The sequence below is a fragment of the Homo sapiens genome, chromosome 4 (genome assembly GCF_000001405.40).
Source record: "Homo sapiens chromosome 4, GRCh38.p14 Primary Assembly".
NCBI classification, from domain to species: domain Eukaryota; kingdom Metazoa; phylum Chordata; class Mammalia; order Primates; family Hominidae; genus Homo; species Homo sapiens.
The window spans coordinates 181,789,131-181,804,714 of record NC_000004.12 but is presented as its reverse complement, the minus strand read 5'-3'; the positions used below and the strand labels follow the sequence as shown (position 1 = coordinate 181,804,714).

Below are 15,584 nucleotides of genomic sequence, written 5' to 3'. Positions count from 1 at the left end.
TCTTTTGCCCCAAAGTTTTAGTTAAAGTGGTCTTTTTAATTCATTGTGACTACACCCAACACTCTCCACATCTCTATCCTAAATTTACTTCAACCACCTGGAATTGCCTTTCCCTCTGTATCTGCATTTCAACATCTTGTTTATTCTTAAAGTCTCAGATCAAATACCCTGCTTTTCATGAGATCATTCCTAATTTGAAGTAATTTCTCCTTCTGTGTATACCTTAACTTTAATGATCTGTGTATCTCGACACATATATTTATCACATTTTTTCTTGTGTTTATTATTTGTGTGTCTGTCTGCTTCCCCTTTAGGGCTGGATAGAGCAGATTTTATATTTTATCTGCAAACATCCACTAAAGTTATTTGCAAAAATCTACCAAAGTTTGCAAACCAGTTAGAATTGGACTGACAGTATTTTATTTTTACAATACAAATTTTGTATTATTTGTCAATTAATTCCACATAAAATCCAGATTTCTAGTTTCTCTGGGGAAACAAAGGCTTGGCCATCTTTTATTTCCCTCCCTCCCTTCTTTCCTTCCTTCTTTCCTTCCTTCCTTGGTTCCTCCCTCCCTCCCTCCCTCCCTTTCCCTCCCTCCTTCTCCTTCCTTCCTCCCTCCCTTCCTTTCTTTCTTTCTTTCCTTTCTCTTTCTCTCCTTCCTCCCTTCCTCCTTCCCTTACCCTCCCTCCCTATTTCTCCTTCCTTCCTTATCTTTCTCTTTCTTTCTTTCTTTCCTTTCTTTTTCTTTCTTTCTTTCTTTTTTTTTTTTTTGTTGAGATAATAAGTCTCAGTCAGTTGTGCAGGCTAGAATGCGGTGGCACAATAATAGCTCACTGCAGCGCTGACCTCCTGGCTCAAGCAATCCTCCCATCTCAGCCTCCCAAGTAGCTGGGACCACAGGCTCATGCCACCACACCTGGCTAATTTTTTTCATTTTTAATTTAAGGGACAAGGATCTCACTATGTTGCCCAGGCTGGTCTCAAACTCCTGGCCTCATGATTAAAGGCATGAGCCATGGTACCTAGACTCAAGCCATCTTCTGGAGTAGGTGCCTGCCCTCTGACCTCCATGCTCACTACTCCTTATTGTCTATTAATTCCCCTTACTGGCCTGGACCATGGAGGCATCTGAGTTTAAGGCACTGGTCTAGAAAGTCTTATTGAGTTTAACAAAATCTCATCAACAATAGTATGTTGAGCTCCTTAATTCAGGACTGATTGGTGAGGTCACCTCAGGTAAAATGCGTTCAATATCATTTCAAGGCCATTTCAGATTATTTGTGATGCCTTTAACTAGAATGAGGGAGGTGGGTAGATATGCATCTAATACAACAGCTCTGTCCTTAGTCTAAACTTCAATTTCCAGTATAAAGACATATAAATGTATGTGAGGAAGGAACAGAAAGCTGGATACATTCTTGATTGAATTAGCATTGCTTGCTTTGTTTGTAATTGTTTGGATATTTAGCAAGCATGGGAGGGGGAGTTGGGTTGTCACTGATGGAGATTGTGGCTGTAGACAATTGGGTCTAATTGAGTTAGTGTGGCTTACACAGTGGATATTGCTTCCTGGTTGGAATCTGGTGCAAGTGCATAAATAATCAATTTTAGTAATAGAAATGTGATGGTTAGAAATTCTAACACATACATGTAATGATGAAAAAAGGATATACCATTCTTAATCCCTTGTGCTCTAATGTTATAAAATAGCCTCTATTCTAATGATATGCTCATCCAGATGACTGAAATGTAGCATCGTTTGTTGGTAGATGAGAAAAGTAAAAATAAAACCCCCCAAATGGAGTAAAATATCAGGAGTAATCAAAGTAATTTATTTGATATTAGTGTGTATTAAGCACTTTTTCCTCCCTGCATAAAACGGAATTTAAGGTTTATAAATCACTTTTTGAATCATTGGGAATCTTGATGTTTTCTGAAAATGGAACTATAAAGAGTTGAAATGATAAAAATAGAGAGCTAAAGCACTTGACTGCTCACAAAGGTATAAACAGATAATTAAATTTGAAAGACGAAAAAAATCAACAAAATGTGAGTGCCTCACTGACAATACAGAGACCAGAGGAAAAGTGCATCAAGATAGTCTCAAAACTATATCAAAGGTTAATATATTTTTGAGTTTTTGATCACAGAAAATTTGAAATTTGCTTTCAAACTACAAACTAGTTATTTAAAAATAAATCATTCTGATTTCTGATCTAAAAGACCTATTTTTTTCTCTTCTCAGAATCCATTTCTTGGCTCTGAAAACAATGATCATGATAAGAAGTATTCTGTTACAAAGTCTTCTATGAACACAACACGTTTTATGGGCTACAGCGGATTCCATTGAGTGAAAAGTTATGGCAAAATCTTTATATCCTGTGAGGTTACATAATTCTTTCTGTAATGTCCTTGGCTGAAGACATTTATATAACTTGTCCTGCTCCAGCACCATCTCTGAGTTCATCTCCCAGGAACACAATAGCCATAATAGTACCCATTATAGCTGCTATTCTTCTCAATTGTAAAGGCACAGTGAAATCGTGGGATGAAGCTGTGCCTTGATTGGCTGTTAAACTGCGATCAATGAAAAGTATTTGTGCCATAATTTTACAACCAAGCAAGAACCGGCCATCCTGGTGGTAAATCAGCATGTACATACCATCAAAACTAAAGTGTCTCACTTGGATAACTGAACTGAATCTTCTTTAAGACAACAGGGTACAATAGAAGGTACATTTTAAAAAAAATCTGCTTGGGCATTTTTCTGTCACCTGGTTAAAAAGAAATAACATATGAACAAGGACAAAGTTCAAAAAAGAATGGTGACTTGCCTCTAAATTATAGCTTAGTTGCATCAAGTTATAAGGGAAAACCAATGCTCCTTTTAATCTAATAGGAAGTGAAAATGACAAACCTGCAGAAACCATTCTCAAGGGTCAGCAAACTTTTCCTCTAAAGGGCCAGGTAGTAAGTATTTTAGGCTTTGTGAGCCATATATGGTCATTGTTGCATATATATATATATATATATATATATATATATATATATATATATATTTTACAATTCTTTAAAAATGTAAAAACCAGGCTTACAAAAGCAAGCCATGAGCCAGCCTTAGGGCTGCAGTTTGCAGACCCCAGATTTATACGAATGCTTATAGATATGAATTTTAATAAAAGTATAACACACATCTCTTTTGATCTCCTCTACATGGCCCCCTCCACCCTCCTCGGGTTCACCACCTGGAGAAATGAGCTGGAGAGTATTCTTAGTTTTTAGACCGGTGCTTGAAAACAGTAGCCAGGGCTATGTCTGTGAAGTATGGCTGGAAAATAAATGCAGGCAATACAATAGTACTTTTCCTATTGCACACATCTATAGACTTCCTTGGTTTTGCAGAACCTGTCACTGTTCATCTCCGTCTCTCAGACGTGTAAAGAGTCTTAGAGAAAACAAGCAAACAAACAAAAAACAGAAAAAATGAGCTTCCCAAAAGTCCACAAAAAAAGCCAAGAATCCTCAGTCCCAGACACACACATACACATGACCAGATAGTGCCTAATGCCTGCTTGCCAAGCCAGCCTGTCTACCATGATAATTGCTTCCTTGTCCAAAGGAGGGCTGTTTGAAGCTGTGCTTCACTGTAACTTTGAACTATTCCTTCTACCCTCTCAGGTGCTTCCCAACTCGCCATAACACAATTACTTGGCTATCTTGCTGTTATTTTTTCTTTGCCAGCAGTTATACTGCAACAGGTATTTTTCATGTTGTTCCACTGAGTTGCCCCGTTCTGGAAATGCCATCTTGCCTTTGACATTCAAGAAATACACCGGCATTTTATTCATAGTAAGAGTAATAACAGGTTACAGTTAGTAAGTACCTGTTCTAGCCTAGGTACTGTTCTCAGTGCTTAATATAAATAACTCATTTAGTCCTCACAATGACCCTAAGAGGTGGGTACTACCATTATTTCCATTTTACAGAAAAAGGAAGTGAGGGACAAGAGTCAAGCACCTGAACAACCAGGAGCAAGTCACCTGAACTGTTCCCTCTATAGGTAAGGAATTCTTTTTTTGAGATGGAGTCTTGCTCTGTTGCCCAGGCTGGAGTGCAGTGGTGCAATCTCGGCTCACTGCAACCTCCACCTCCCGGGTTCAAGCAGTTCTTCCACCTCAGCCTCCTGAGTAGCTGGGATTCCACGTGTCTGCCACCATGCCCAGCTAATTTTTTGCACTTTAAGTAGAGACAGGGTTTCACCATATTGGTCAGGCTGGTCTTGAACTCCTGGCCTCAGGTGATCCGCCTGCCTCGGCCTCCCAAAGTGCTGGGATTACAGGTGTGAGCCACCTTTCCCGGCCTAGGAATTCTTATTTCTTATTCCCATATGTCCAGTGTGTACTCTGGTTGGGTGGCTGTTCTTAGTATAATTGTTTTCGGAATAGTTTTGGCCATTTGTTCATCTGGTGACCATGGTTCAGTCTACGTAGAATACACAGATATCCTGGTTAGGTCATTACACGGTTAGGAGTTTGCAAACACGTGGCTCCCATCTTGAATCTAGTCCTCATTACCATTATTGTTTTTAATAACAGTTGCAACACTGACAGTTATGTGTACTTCACAGGAAAATCTTAATTTCTGGCTCTTTTTTGAAGAACCAGAAGCTCTGGCAATCCTGGGTCTGCATTCTGGCACAGCGATAATTGGCTCCATCAGCCACCTTATTCTGGGCAACCGCTTTCCAGTTCGCCTGTCTCCACAGACCACTCTACTCATCCGCATTATCTGCCTAGCTCCCGAGGGCTTTTGAATTCCCACTTCCTAATAGACAGGCTGCTTCCGACTTGTTCACCCAAACAGAGCACATTGTATTGTGATTCTTCTGGAAAATGTATAGACCTAGTCAAAGATGCCGCACTAGAGCTTTAGATCCTTACAGTATAATTTAATAACCTCCCCATACTTTCCTTTGTACTCATCTATTATTATCCCAGGCATTTACCTGCTAAGAAAGTGTTTGGCGGTGTCTTAATGCGCTAGCCTCTTTCTGTTCCTTTGCAGTTTTGAATAGCTGTGTCAGCGTTCTCAGTGCTTATATGACTTAGGTAATACATGTCTGCTGCTATTTTCTGGTATATTTTATAAAAGTTTATAACAGTAATTGTAAGAAATGATCATGCTTTGATTAAATAAATATGCTATTGAGGAGTTAGGTACACAATTTAAATGTGGCTTGAATAATTTGTTGGCATATCCGCCAACTTATTTCAGTAGCTTTAAATTATAGATACGTTTGTGGAAGCACCATCCTATTTTGCAAATTTGACAGCAATAGCTGTTTCCTGAATGCATTTGACATTATATTCTACATTGTTTTATGCCAATCACATTTACTGCAAACTGCTTATTACTTCATTGCTGAAAATGGCAACATGTATTTATTTAGCTTTTTATTTTAGAATCAGCAGGCTATCACTCGCTTTATTAATCAGATCCAACCTTGAGGATTACAGCCACTCGTTTCAGGTTTATCTAATTGCTGCTGCTCAAAAACTGAGAAATCAGTAATGCAGTTATGTCATCTCCCTTGAGGAATTATTGTTTCTAAGGATATTACATTTGTTAGTGGGAAAAGGGAGCCTTCCAATGTATACATTATTTTTCCATAGAGAACAGTGCATAAGCGGCCGTCTACATTTTGCTTTAAGGAGGTTACCCTTGTTAAAAGTCAGGCTGACATTTCTTTATGCATCACTTCTTTTTCTGGTTCTTACAATTTAGAAAGGTTTCCTTTTCTGGTATTTTCAGCCATCTCCCTGGCTCACACTGTTACATTTGTTATAAAATTAAAACTACATTTGTTAACTCACATACCATCGTTTTTATTAGCCCAGCAGAAAAGTCAATATTTCTAATTTGTTGCCTCTGGATTTATGCCAGTTTTGATGTATAATAACAGCCCAACAAGGCAACATAATATATACTAACCCAAATCTATAAAGAAGGGAAATGAAAGTCAAAGTAATAAAAAAACATTACTTGGGAACCAGAGATACGTGAAGCAATCTGAAACAACAGTTACACCAGCCTGCATTGGTTTTTGACTGTTGAAAAGGAATCTACCTTAAGACATTTAGAATTTTAGAAGAGAAGGTATTGAGTCTTCTTTTCCTGTGGAACTCACAGGGGCCTTTTCCTAAGCACCATGATGCTATCCCAGATGTACTAGCGGAAGCCCAATATAAAGTCAAGAAAGCTGGGCTCCCAGCCACTAGGGAGTCTGAGGGTGGATAATCACTTGAACACAGCAGGCAGAGGTTGCAGTGAGCTGAGATTGTAGCACCGCAGTTCAGCCTGGGTGACAGAGCAAGACTCCATCTCAAAAAATAAATAAATAAATAAATAAAAAATAAAGAAAAGGAAGAAAGCAAGAAAGCTGGGTTCCAACTTGTATGACCCAAGATGCGTCTCTTAGCTATGCCTCAGTTCCCTCGTTTGTAAAATAAGAGGTTGGTTGAGACTCAGTTCTTGTACTTATCAGTGTGTAAATTCTATGAGTTTGATTCTTAAGAGTAAAAAAGACAAAACTATACACACACACACACACACACACACACTTATTTTGAAATATGCGTTAACATGTCCTTTTCAAGAGAAGAAGAAAAATAGGCAAGAAAGAGAATAAATAATGATAAAAGATAGAACAGTGAGAACTGCTGAAAAATGCAGATTCTATCATCCATTCCCCCCACTTCATTCCTGAACCATAAATGTCACCAGAGAAAATAGAGACAGCTGGTTCCAAATTTATTATCATAGTCAGAAAACACAGGTAGGGTTATCGCCTCATAGGTTCCTTCCTCTTTTCCTGTCACATTATTGTCAAGGCGACGTTAAGGTTGTGCCAGGCAGAAGCCCCCACATTAGAAAGCCATGCATGGCAATAACAGAACGTATTTTCATCCAGTTTTTAGTAGTCTCATTCACTGAAAATAAATAATCACTGCGAAGCCTATGGGGATGAGTCGAAACACATATTCAGACACTTCAGCTATGAAGTGTCCTCTTTCTTGGGCTCAAGTCCTTCTGCCAGTTTTACTTGTTAATGCCTATGAATCAAATACAAAGTCACGGCTTATAGACAACATAGTGAGGAAAGATGGGGCAGCGTTAGAGTTAAATATATACACATTCATGTATATGTTTTGCTGAAGGACTGAATTCGTTATACCGATAGAGCCTACCATACTAAATCAAAAACAACCAGAGGAAAAAGGAGAGGAAGGAGAAGGTGTGTCAGCTTGGATCAGAGAGCAAGGAGACAATGGTCTCGGGAGCCCTACCTGGAGTCCAAGGCCCCTTCTCTGTTCTCCTGAGGTGTCCCTTTCACCATTATGTATTGGCCCTTTTTTGTTGCCTGCAGTTCAATACCGAAAGCCATGTTGATCATGGTGAGCAGTAAGAGGTCACGTTATCAGTAGCAAGGTAAGCTTCATAGACTTCTTTTAGGATTGAGAGGAAGGGAACAGTTAAAAAAAAAAGGAAAAAAGATTAAAAAAAAAACCCTCCCTTTTACAAAGAAAAATCCCCATGTACAAAGAAAAGGGGAGGGAGCATATTTTGAGATAGTAAAACGTTGTGGACTGGGCACCACATGGGCCCTGGACTGGGGAGGGGCTCACACTCTGGCCTGTGGGCCTCCCTCTTTGCCGTCTGAAATAAACTCACCCACAACATGGAAACAGCACAACGTCCAAAAATCATTCCCCGAGAATACAAAAGGCAGTTTCTAGACTTGCTCTGACATGACGTAAGAATTTTCTGAGATGTAAAAGTGGATGCATATATCTGGGTAGGATGAAATGAACGTGGTGATGCAACACCACCCTTTGGAAGGAAGGATACATTTCTTAGTTGAGGTTGTCCGCCTTATGCAACGTCAGTGTTCTGGACGGGTTCCAAACTGCTCATAGTCTTGTTTCATGAACTCGCTCCTGCTGAGTGTCTAGGCTGTGTCAGAGGTGATCATCTCTCTCACCCCCATGGTCAGGTAATGATGTCATCCTGCTGATTAATTCTACTTCGCCTCTCATGTGTGGGCCCCACCCCTCCCCTTCCTGGGGCTCATCCTCTAGTGCACATGCTCATGTCCCTGCCTCTGGCATAACCCTGGCCATCTGTGCTGCGCCCTCTGCCTTGAAGATCTTCAGGCCACTCTCCACATGCCTAAATGCTATCCCACTTTCAAGGGCAGAATCCTCAAAGACCATCTCATTGGTTATTCCTGCTGAACTCCCAGCTGAAAGTAACCATTCCCCCACTGAACATCACAAACTTTTCTTTGAGCTTTTCCAGCAGTATGTGTCCCTTTCTTCTTGTATAATTCATGAATGTGCCCTCTAGTGAGGACAGGGCACTTGTCGGATTTGCTGTGATTGGGTCCGAGACCTAGTGGCTGTCTAATACACTTTTGATGAATGAATGAAGGAATCGATGACTATAAGGAACATAGGTGACAATAAGAAGTTTGAACTGTTATATTTAATACTATTACGCTCCTCCTCCTTGATTCTGTACCTTGGTTGCTGGCAGCTGCAGCCCATTACAACAACCATAAAACATTTGTGACATTTCTGATGCCACTGTTTATTCTGTAGCCCATATCCAATCAATTGCCAAATACTCAGATATATTCCATCCCCTTTCCTTCCCATACTCAGGCCTCTAGCCTTTCTTGTCTGGATACTACAGTGACTCCCTACTGAGTCTCTCTGCTTCTGTGCTTTGCCCATTGGAGTCATTTTCTGCCTAGGTACCAGAGACATCTATCTAAAACACAAATCTAACCCAGGTCATATCCAGGTTATACTTCCCCATGGATTCCCATCATGTAAAGGTATTTTTACATGGCATATAATATCCTCTTTGGCACCTTGGCTACCTCTCCAGGTTTAGCTCCAACTTCTCTTCCTTTCCCATGTGCCATGCTATTTATTACCTTGATATTTTTCTCAATTATTGTCTTTTGAGTTATCAGTTGGGAAAATATTTGTTTTTACCATTGGCACAACCAAATTACATCAGCCACTTGGTGATAGCTCAGTAGTTCAGCAACTGGTATTGATCATACCTTGAAAGAGTTGACTGAATGCAACATATCACATCAGTCTTCATTTAGGCCAAAGTTGCTATGGACTGCATGTTTACATCCCCTGAAATTCATATATTGAAGCCCAAATAACCAATAAGATTGTATTAGGAGGTGGGGCCTTTGGGGAGTAATTAGGTCATAAGGGTGGGGCCCTTGTGAACAGGATTAGTGCCTTTATAAGAAGAGACACAGGGGAGATGATCTCTGTCTCTGTCATGTTAGTATACACCAATAAGGTGTCTGTCTGTACACCAGGAAAGGGATCCTCACAGAGAACCATGTCAGCCAGCACCTTGATGCTGGGCTTCCCAGCCTGGAGAACTGTGAGACATAAATTTCTGTTATTTAAACCACTCAGTGTAGGCAACTTTTGTGATAGCAGCCTGAACTGACCAAGACAAAAGACATCCATCGAAAACACAAATCTGAATATTCAGAGACATAGAAATAACCTACAGCAAGCATGCAAGAGTAGAAATGACTCTGCCTAAATAAACTATCAGAACAGCCAACTATACAAGGGATTGTAGGCTATTGTTAGTGTAGGTGTTAACTATAGAACAGTTTCCCAATCCGAATTACCTTGCAAACTGGTAGGTGAATTTCTTCTGTGAATTTCTGGACTGATGCAGCTGGGATTTGGAGTGGAGTGGAGAAGCACAGCCTGTGAAAAAGGTGCTCTGAAGTAACCTGAGACCACTTGCAAATTACTGGAGATTATTTAAGGTTTTAGTTCCTGAAATGAATCCTAAGTGTGATTTTCTTACATCCACTAAATTTCTTGGATCCAACCCGACCTAGACAGAACTAAAATGTTCTTCAAAATACTACATAATAAAAGTAATAAAAAGTGCTGTACACACACACACACACACACACACACACACACAGGGATATTATTCAGCCTTAAAAAAGAAGGAAATGCCTTAAAAAAGAAGGAAATGCCATTATTTGAGACATGAATGAACCTGGAGGACAGTATGTTAAGTGAAATAAGCCAGGCAAAGAAAAACAAATACTGCAGGATCTCACTTGTATGTGGAATCTAAAAAAGTCAAATTCATAGAATAGAGAGTAGAAGGGCGGTTGCCAGGGGCTGGGATGTGGGACATGTAGGAAGATGTTGGTCAAATTGTGCAAAGTTTCAGTTGCACAGAATGAATAAATTTCTGGAGATCTAATGCACAGCGTGGTGACTACAGTTAATAATAGTCTATTGCACACTTGAAATTTGCCAAGAGAGCAGATCTTAACTGTTCTCACCACACACATACACACACACACAATCACAAGGATAACTATGTGACGTGATGGAGATGTTAATTAGTTTTACTGTGGTAGTGACTTTGCAGTGTGTATATATATATATTGTACACCATAAAAATATGTAATTTTTATCTGTCAAATATACTTCAGTAAAGCTGGGGGAAAAATAAAAACAGTGACTTAAGATATGTAAACTATAATAACAGAGAAAGGGAGTGGAGTGATAAAGATGTTGCGAAGCTTGTTTTTGATGCTTGTTTTGTACTTATCTTAAATCAAAATGTTTTTGGATGTTGCCAGGTGTTATTAATGTGGAAACACTAAAACAACAGGAGGTATATAAAGTAATAAAAAAGGACTATAGGACCAGCCCTAATCATAATCTAAATAATGGGAAATACAATAAAACAAATGAACTGAAAACACTGAAAAATACTCAACAGCATTCCAATTGAAAGAGGCAAGTATTACATTTGCTAAAACGATGTGAGCTTTTCTTGATTCAGACACTCATGCAAGCACAGCATTTTCTTCTTTGTATGTATGGGAAAGCCAGCCCTTTTGAGAGTTAGAATAGCTTTCAAGACTCCTGATTTAAATTTCAAACTCTTGATCATAGCTGGGGAGCAAAGGTTTTCATCTTGGAATTGGAAATTGAGTTCTTTAGCTCTATACCAAGTGATAATATTAAGCATTTTGTTGTATCCACCATGCAAGCCAAGTTCCCTACTGTGCCTTCAAAGCCACAGTGAATGAACCATATTTGGATTTGCTTATCAGGAAGAGACATTTAGAAAGACAATGCACTTGTCCTGCGAGACTGAGACTCCTGATGCTTTTAGATAGGCCTGTGGAGAGCTGCAAAATGGGCCCTAAAATCAGGCTGACATGGTCGCTTAACAAGCCTCAGCATGCTCTGTGGGCTCAGCGAGTTTGTGGTGTCACCCACAGGGCTGCTGATGGCAGCCATCATAATTAGAACACATGAATCAAAAACACCAGGTGAAGATTTTGCCTTAGAAGAAAGAAAAGGCAGATGGAGGGAATTACCATGGCCTTTGACTATTAAGCTCTTTCATGCAGCTGGATCGCCGGCCAGCCCTGGATGCATGAATGAGTCTAGCGCAGTTTACAGAAGTCTCACCCTTCCTGCTACCAAGCTTCAAAGGGGCAAGGAGAGCAGAACATCTCTTCCTTGTCAATTCATTGGAAGAAGTAAAATCTTAGCGTCTCTCTCAACATTTGGTAAAACAGGTAACAGTGTTTGTCTTAATTTATTTTTTTAATGTGGAAAATGACTTGGCAGTCTTTTCCAGGAAAAAAAAAACCGTCTATAACTTCAAGGGCTATGACCTTGAAAGAGATTTGCTGAACTTTAATATGACTGGATTTTTTCCAACCTTTATGGGCTCTTGATTTGAAAATCTCCCTAACAAAAGCTCAGCCAGGAAAGCTGTTATTACAGAGATGCTGCTCAATAGGGAGAAGTGGGTTAATTGCAAGCTCTCCAGTAAAATAAAGGAGGGTTTTGAAAACAAGTGCAAATTTGACAAAATGTATTGCATTGCTGCTGTGGAAAAAAACTGTGAGGGAGAAACATTAGAAATGGCAAAATGTCTAAAATAAATAGATGTTACAAAACCTGTTGGAAGAGGCTATTTGAGATTTCAGATTACTCATAAATAATTGCCCATCTGACCTTGATATGAATACAGAAATCCATTAGCAATTAAATTTTCAAACGTAATTGTATACTAAAAAATACGTATTTTTTTCCCTATCAATCTATGTTGACAGGACCTAGTTTAATACCACAATGTAGACTTATTTACGTTTTTATCTTCTTTTCCGGTATATTGCTTTTGAGTTAAGCGTAATTCATGATGAAGAGCTTAACAGTAAATTGTGAATTTGTTCAGAGAATTTCCTTATAACATTCTATGACTTTCATGAAAATTTAACTTCCATTTTTGAGCCAAAATAAAAGCTTCAAAATACACAAGAATGTTTATGTTTTCCTATTTACAAGCAGTCGAGATATTTTTCTTCTAAGAAAGTTAATCTTAAGGATATTCTCCTGAGCTTAACAATTTTAAGAGAAAAATCACGCTGTATTGTTACATTGTGACTTCACTTACAACAATATCATTTAATATAATGTCAATGGATTTGGATTATTTTGAAAGGAAGACTTGATACTATTTGAATGGGTTTATTATAGGTAAGCCAAAATGCAGTCGGAAACTCAGAAACACTTATCATGTAGACTAATAGGAATCTACTGAATCCATCAAAGAAATTAGAGAGAAAATTGCATTTCTGTTCACATGTCCTAAGAGTGGCTGTCCCTGGAGGACACATGCCTTAATTTTGCCTATTAAATAAATGAATATTCTTGAGAATCCACAGAGTCAGGCAAAAACAACACAGTGTCCGTTGCCTACTTATGTTTTGGTACTAGTCAAAGTAGACATTTCTCTGTCTGATTTGAGCTTCATTTGGAAGCAATTAACTATTTTATATGAGATATAATAAGGGTCTCCAGTGCAGGGACCACAGTTACCTGCATCAGTTGTTTAGGACTTAATTAGTAAAATCACGTTCACATTCAACATAGCTCTGATGGTAACCAGTTCCTTACTGCCGAATGCTGTTTCGTCTCTCATTTCTTAAAATGTGCTGGACTGGTGAAAAGAATCTGGGGTTAAGAGTAGGCTAAAATTACCAATTACTTTTATTCTTATATTACTTTCCTGAGATTTATATTTGATCCTCAAAATGTCCAGAAAGCACAATAAATAAAATTCTTCACACTTTGTTTACAAACACTACCCCGGATGTTCAACTTTATCTTCATGTTTCATTTTATAAAATTATGATTTGTATTTTTGTGTAAAATTTAATTTTTGTTGTTATGATTAAAGCAAAGCAGGCTAGAGACTTCAAACATGATTTAAAGTCTATTATTTCATTGTAGGAAAAATAAGAGGCATTTAAAGAAGTCATAAAATGTATCATATAAATGTGGCAATCGAAACAATAAATACCCCCCACAAAAGAGACCAGAACTTGAGTAGCTGCACGGCCCGTGTTTCTCCGGACCACTATCGTGAAGACATCGCCTGGTCCGGGGCAATTTGCCCACCAAGCAAATTATCTAGCCCCTGAGCTTTAAAAACAGCTCATTCCAGTTTGACTCCGTTCTCAGGGAAACTGGTTCACTCCTTTCTGAGGGTTTCCAGTGTATTCTGTACATGCCCCATGAAAGCATTCATCATATGGCCCGTAATCATCTTTTACACAGTTTTGCCCACAACTAGACTCTCAGTTGCTGGAGTATGGGGGCCAGGTTTCTTTGTACTTGAACCCTAGGACTAAGTAGGGGATCTGGCACAAAGTAAGCAGGCAAAGGTAAGCAGAGGTAACTTGCCTCTAAATATCACCAGAAATTTCCATTGAGGAAGATTCTCAGTGAGGGCCAAAGATGGCCTCCATTTCCTCTCTCCGTAAGCAGATATTAAGAAGAATACAGTCCAGTTTAGAGCCATTTCTTGGTACTGAACGCCTCTGAATGTTTACTTGTCTTTGCCTAAAAAATGTTGAGAATTAACTAAGAAAGGCTTATTCTTCTGGGTCTAGATTGAAATGTCTGTGATGGGATGGATAGGTTTCCTTCCATTATCTTCACTTTATTTTTTGTTTTTTTCCACTCATAAGCAGTAACTTTTCTATTTCTATTCTCTTTTCTATTCTTAAAGACAGAAGTTACACTTTGCAGCTTGGACTTCTTGACTCTAACCATGCAAGAAACTTAACAAATAATGATAACTGATAATATACACAGTGCAATTAATTGTTGTTAGAGTTCGCTTTTAAAAAGCAGCACATTGCAGACACAATCTTGAAAAAGTTTTCAGGAACAATGTTCTATTTAGTGTTCAGCAAATCAAATTGTTTTTGTGTGATTGGAGAAAAGTGAGCCACTTCTTATACCATCTCTAAAAGAAAAAACAATTTTTTTCTCTCTCTACTGCCACACTCAGTGCAGAACCCACGTGTGGCCAGATGTGTGGGGGTCTTTCCACACACACCAAGCAATCCTCCGGGGGCCACCAGCAGGCTATGCCATACTTCAATTCAATTCTGACACTATCTACCTGAGGTAGAGTCAGAGTGCTCAGGTGGGGCTCAGTCCCACAAGACTGCACTCTACTTCTGATGCCAACTTTCAGAAGTAGATTGTCACATACACTTCTGACCCACCCACTGTAAATTGCACTCCATGACCCCATTCTTAGGTTCCATTAATTTGCTGGGCTGGCTCACAGAACTCAGGGAAAGACTTAAATTGACTGGTTTGGCATAATGAAGAATACTACAAAGGATATGGATGATGTGCCAGGTGAAGGGATGTGTAGGGCATAGGACATGGTACCGGGGAGGGGGTGGCATGCCATCCTCCCAGCACTTCCATGTTTTCAGCAATCTGGAAGCTTAGCAAACACACCTCCTCCTCCTGTTCAGCAACTGAAAAGCACATCTCCTTGTCTAAGACTTTGTATAGAGCTTGATCTCCAGCCCTGACCCTGCATCTCCTGGAGGTTGGTAGGCGGGGCTGAAAATCCCAACCCTGAAATCCTATAACTGCTTGGTCTTTCTGGTCACCAGCTCCATCTGAGTCTAGCTGGGGTGCCCAGTCTAAGTCCTTCATGAGCATAAACTTAGGTGTTACAAAGGGGGCTCTAGTGGCTCACGCCTGTAATCACAGCACTTTGGGAGGCTGAAGTGGGTGGATAACGTGAGGTCAGGAGTTCAAGACCAGCCTGGCCAACATGGCAAAACCCCATCTCTACTAAAAATACAAAAATTAGCTGGGCATGGTGGTGCATGCCTGTAATCCCAGCTACTCAGGAGGCTGAGGCAGGAGAATTGCTTGAACCCTGGGAGGTGGAGGTTGCAGTGAGCCGAGATCATGCCATTGCACTCTAGCCTGGGTGACAGAGTAAGACTCCATCTCAAAAAAATAAAATAAATAAAATAAAATAAAATAAAATAAAATAAAATAAAATAAATAAAGGGGGCTCTTTATAAATAACAGAAGACACTCCTATCACTCAGAAAATTCTAAGGACTTTAGAAGCTCTGTGACAAGAACTGGGG

The 15,584-nt window shown here is 39.4% G+C and overlaps 1 protein-coding gene across 7 annotated transcripts in view, besides 1 other annotated feature; it reads right to left on the bottom strand.

Moving 5' to 3' along the window:
* The window catches only part of TENM3 (teneurin transmembrane protein 3), a 1,355,412-nt gene that overhangs the window by 998,310 nt on the left and 341,518 nt on the right, over positions 1-15,584 (bottom strand). The gene's annotated exons all lie outside the window — the stretch shown is intronic.
* Positions 7,410-8,609: an enhancer, noted in NCBI's record as "BRD4-independent group 4 enhancer chr4:182717259-182718458 (GRCh37/hg19 assembly coordinates)". NCBI's record gives its function as "activates an origin of replication core promoter dependent on BRD2, P300/CBP, MED14 and CDK7 cofactors, and independent of BRD4, by STARR-seq in HCT116 cells {active_cell/tissue: HCT116}" and the evidence as "EXISTENCE:reporter gene assay evidence [ECO:0000049][PMID:35650434]".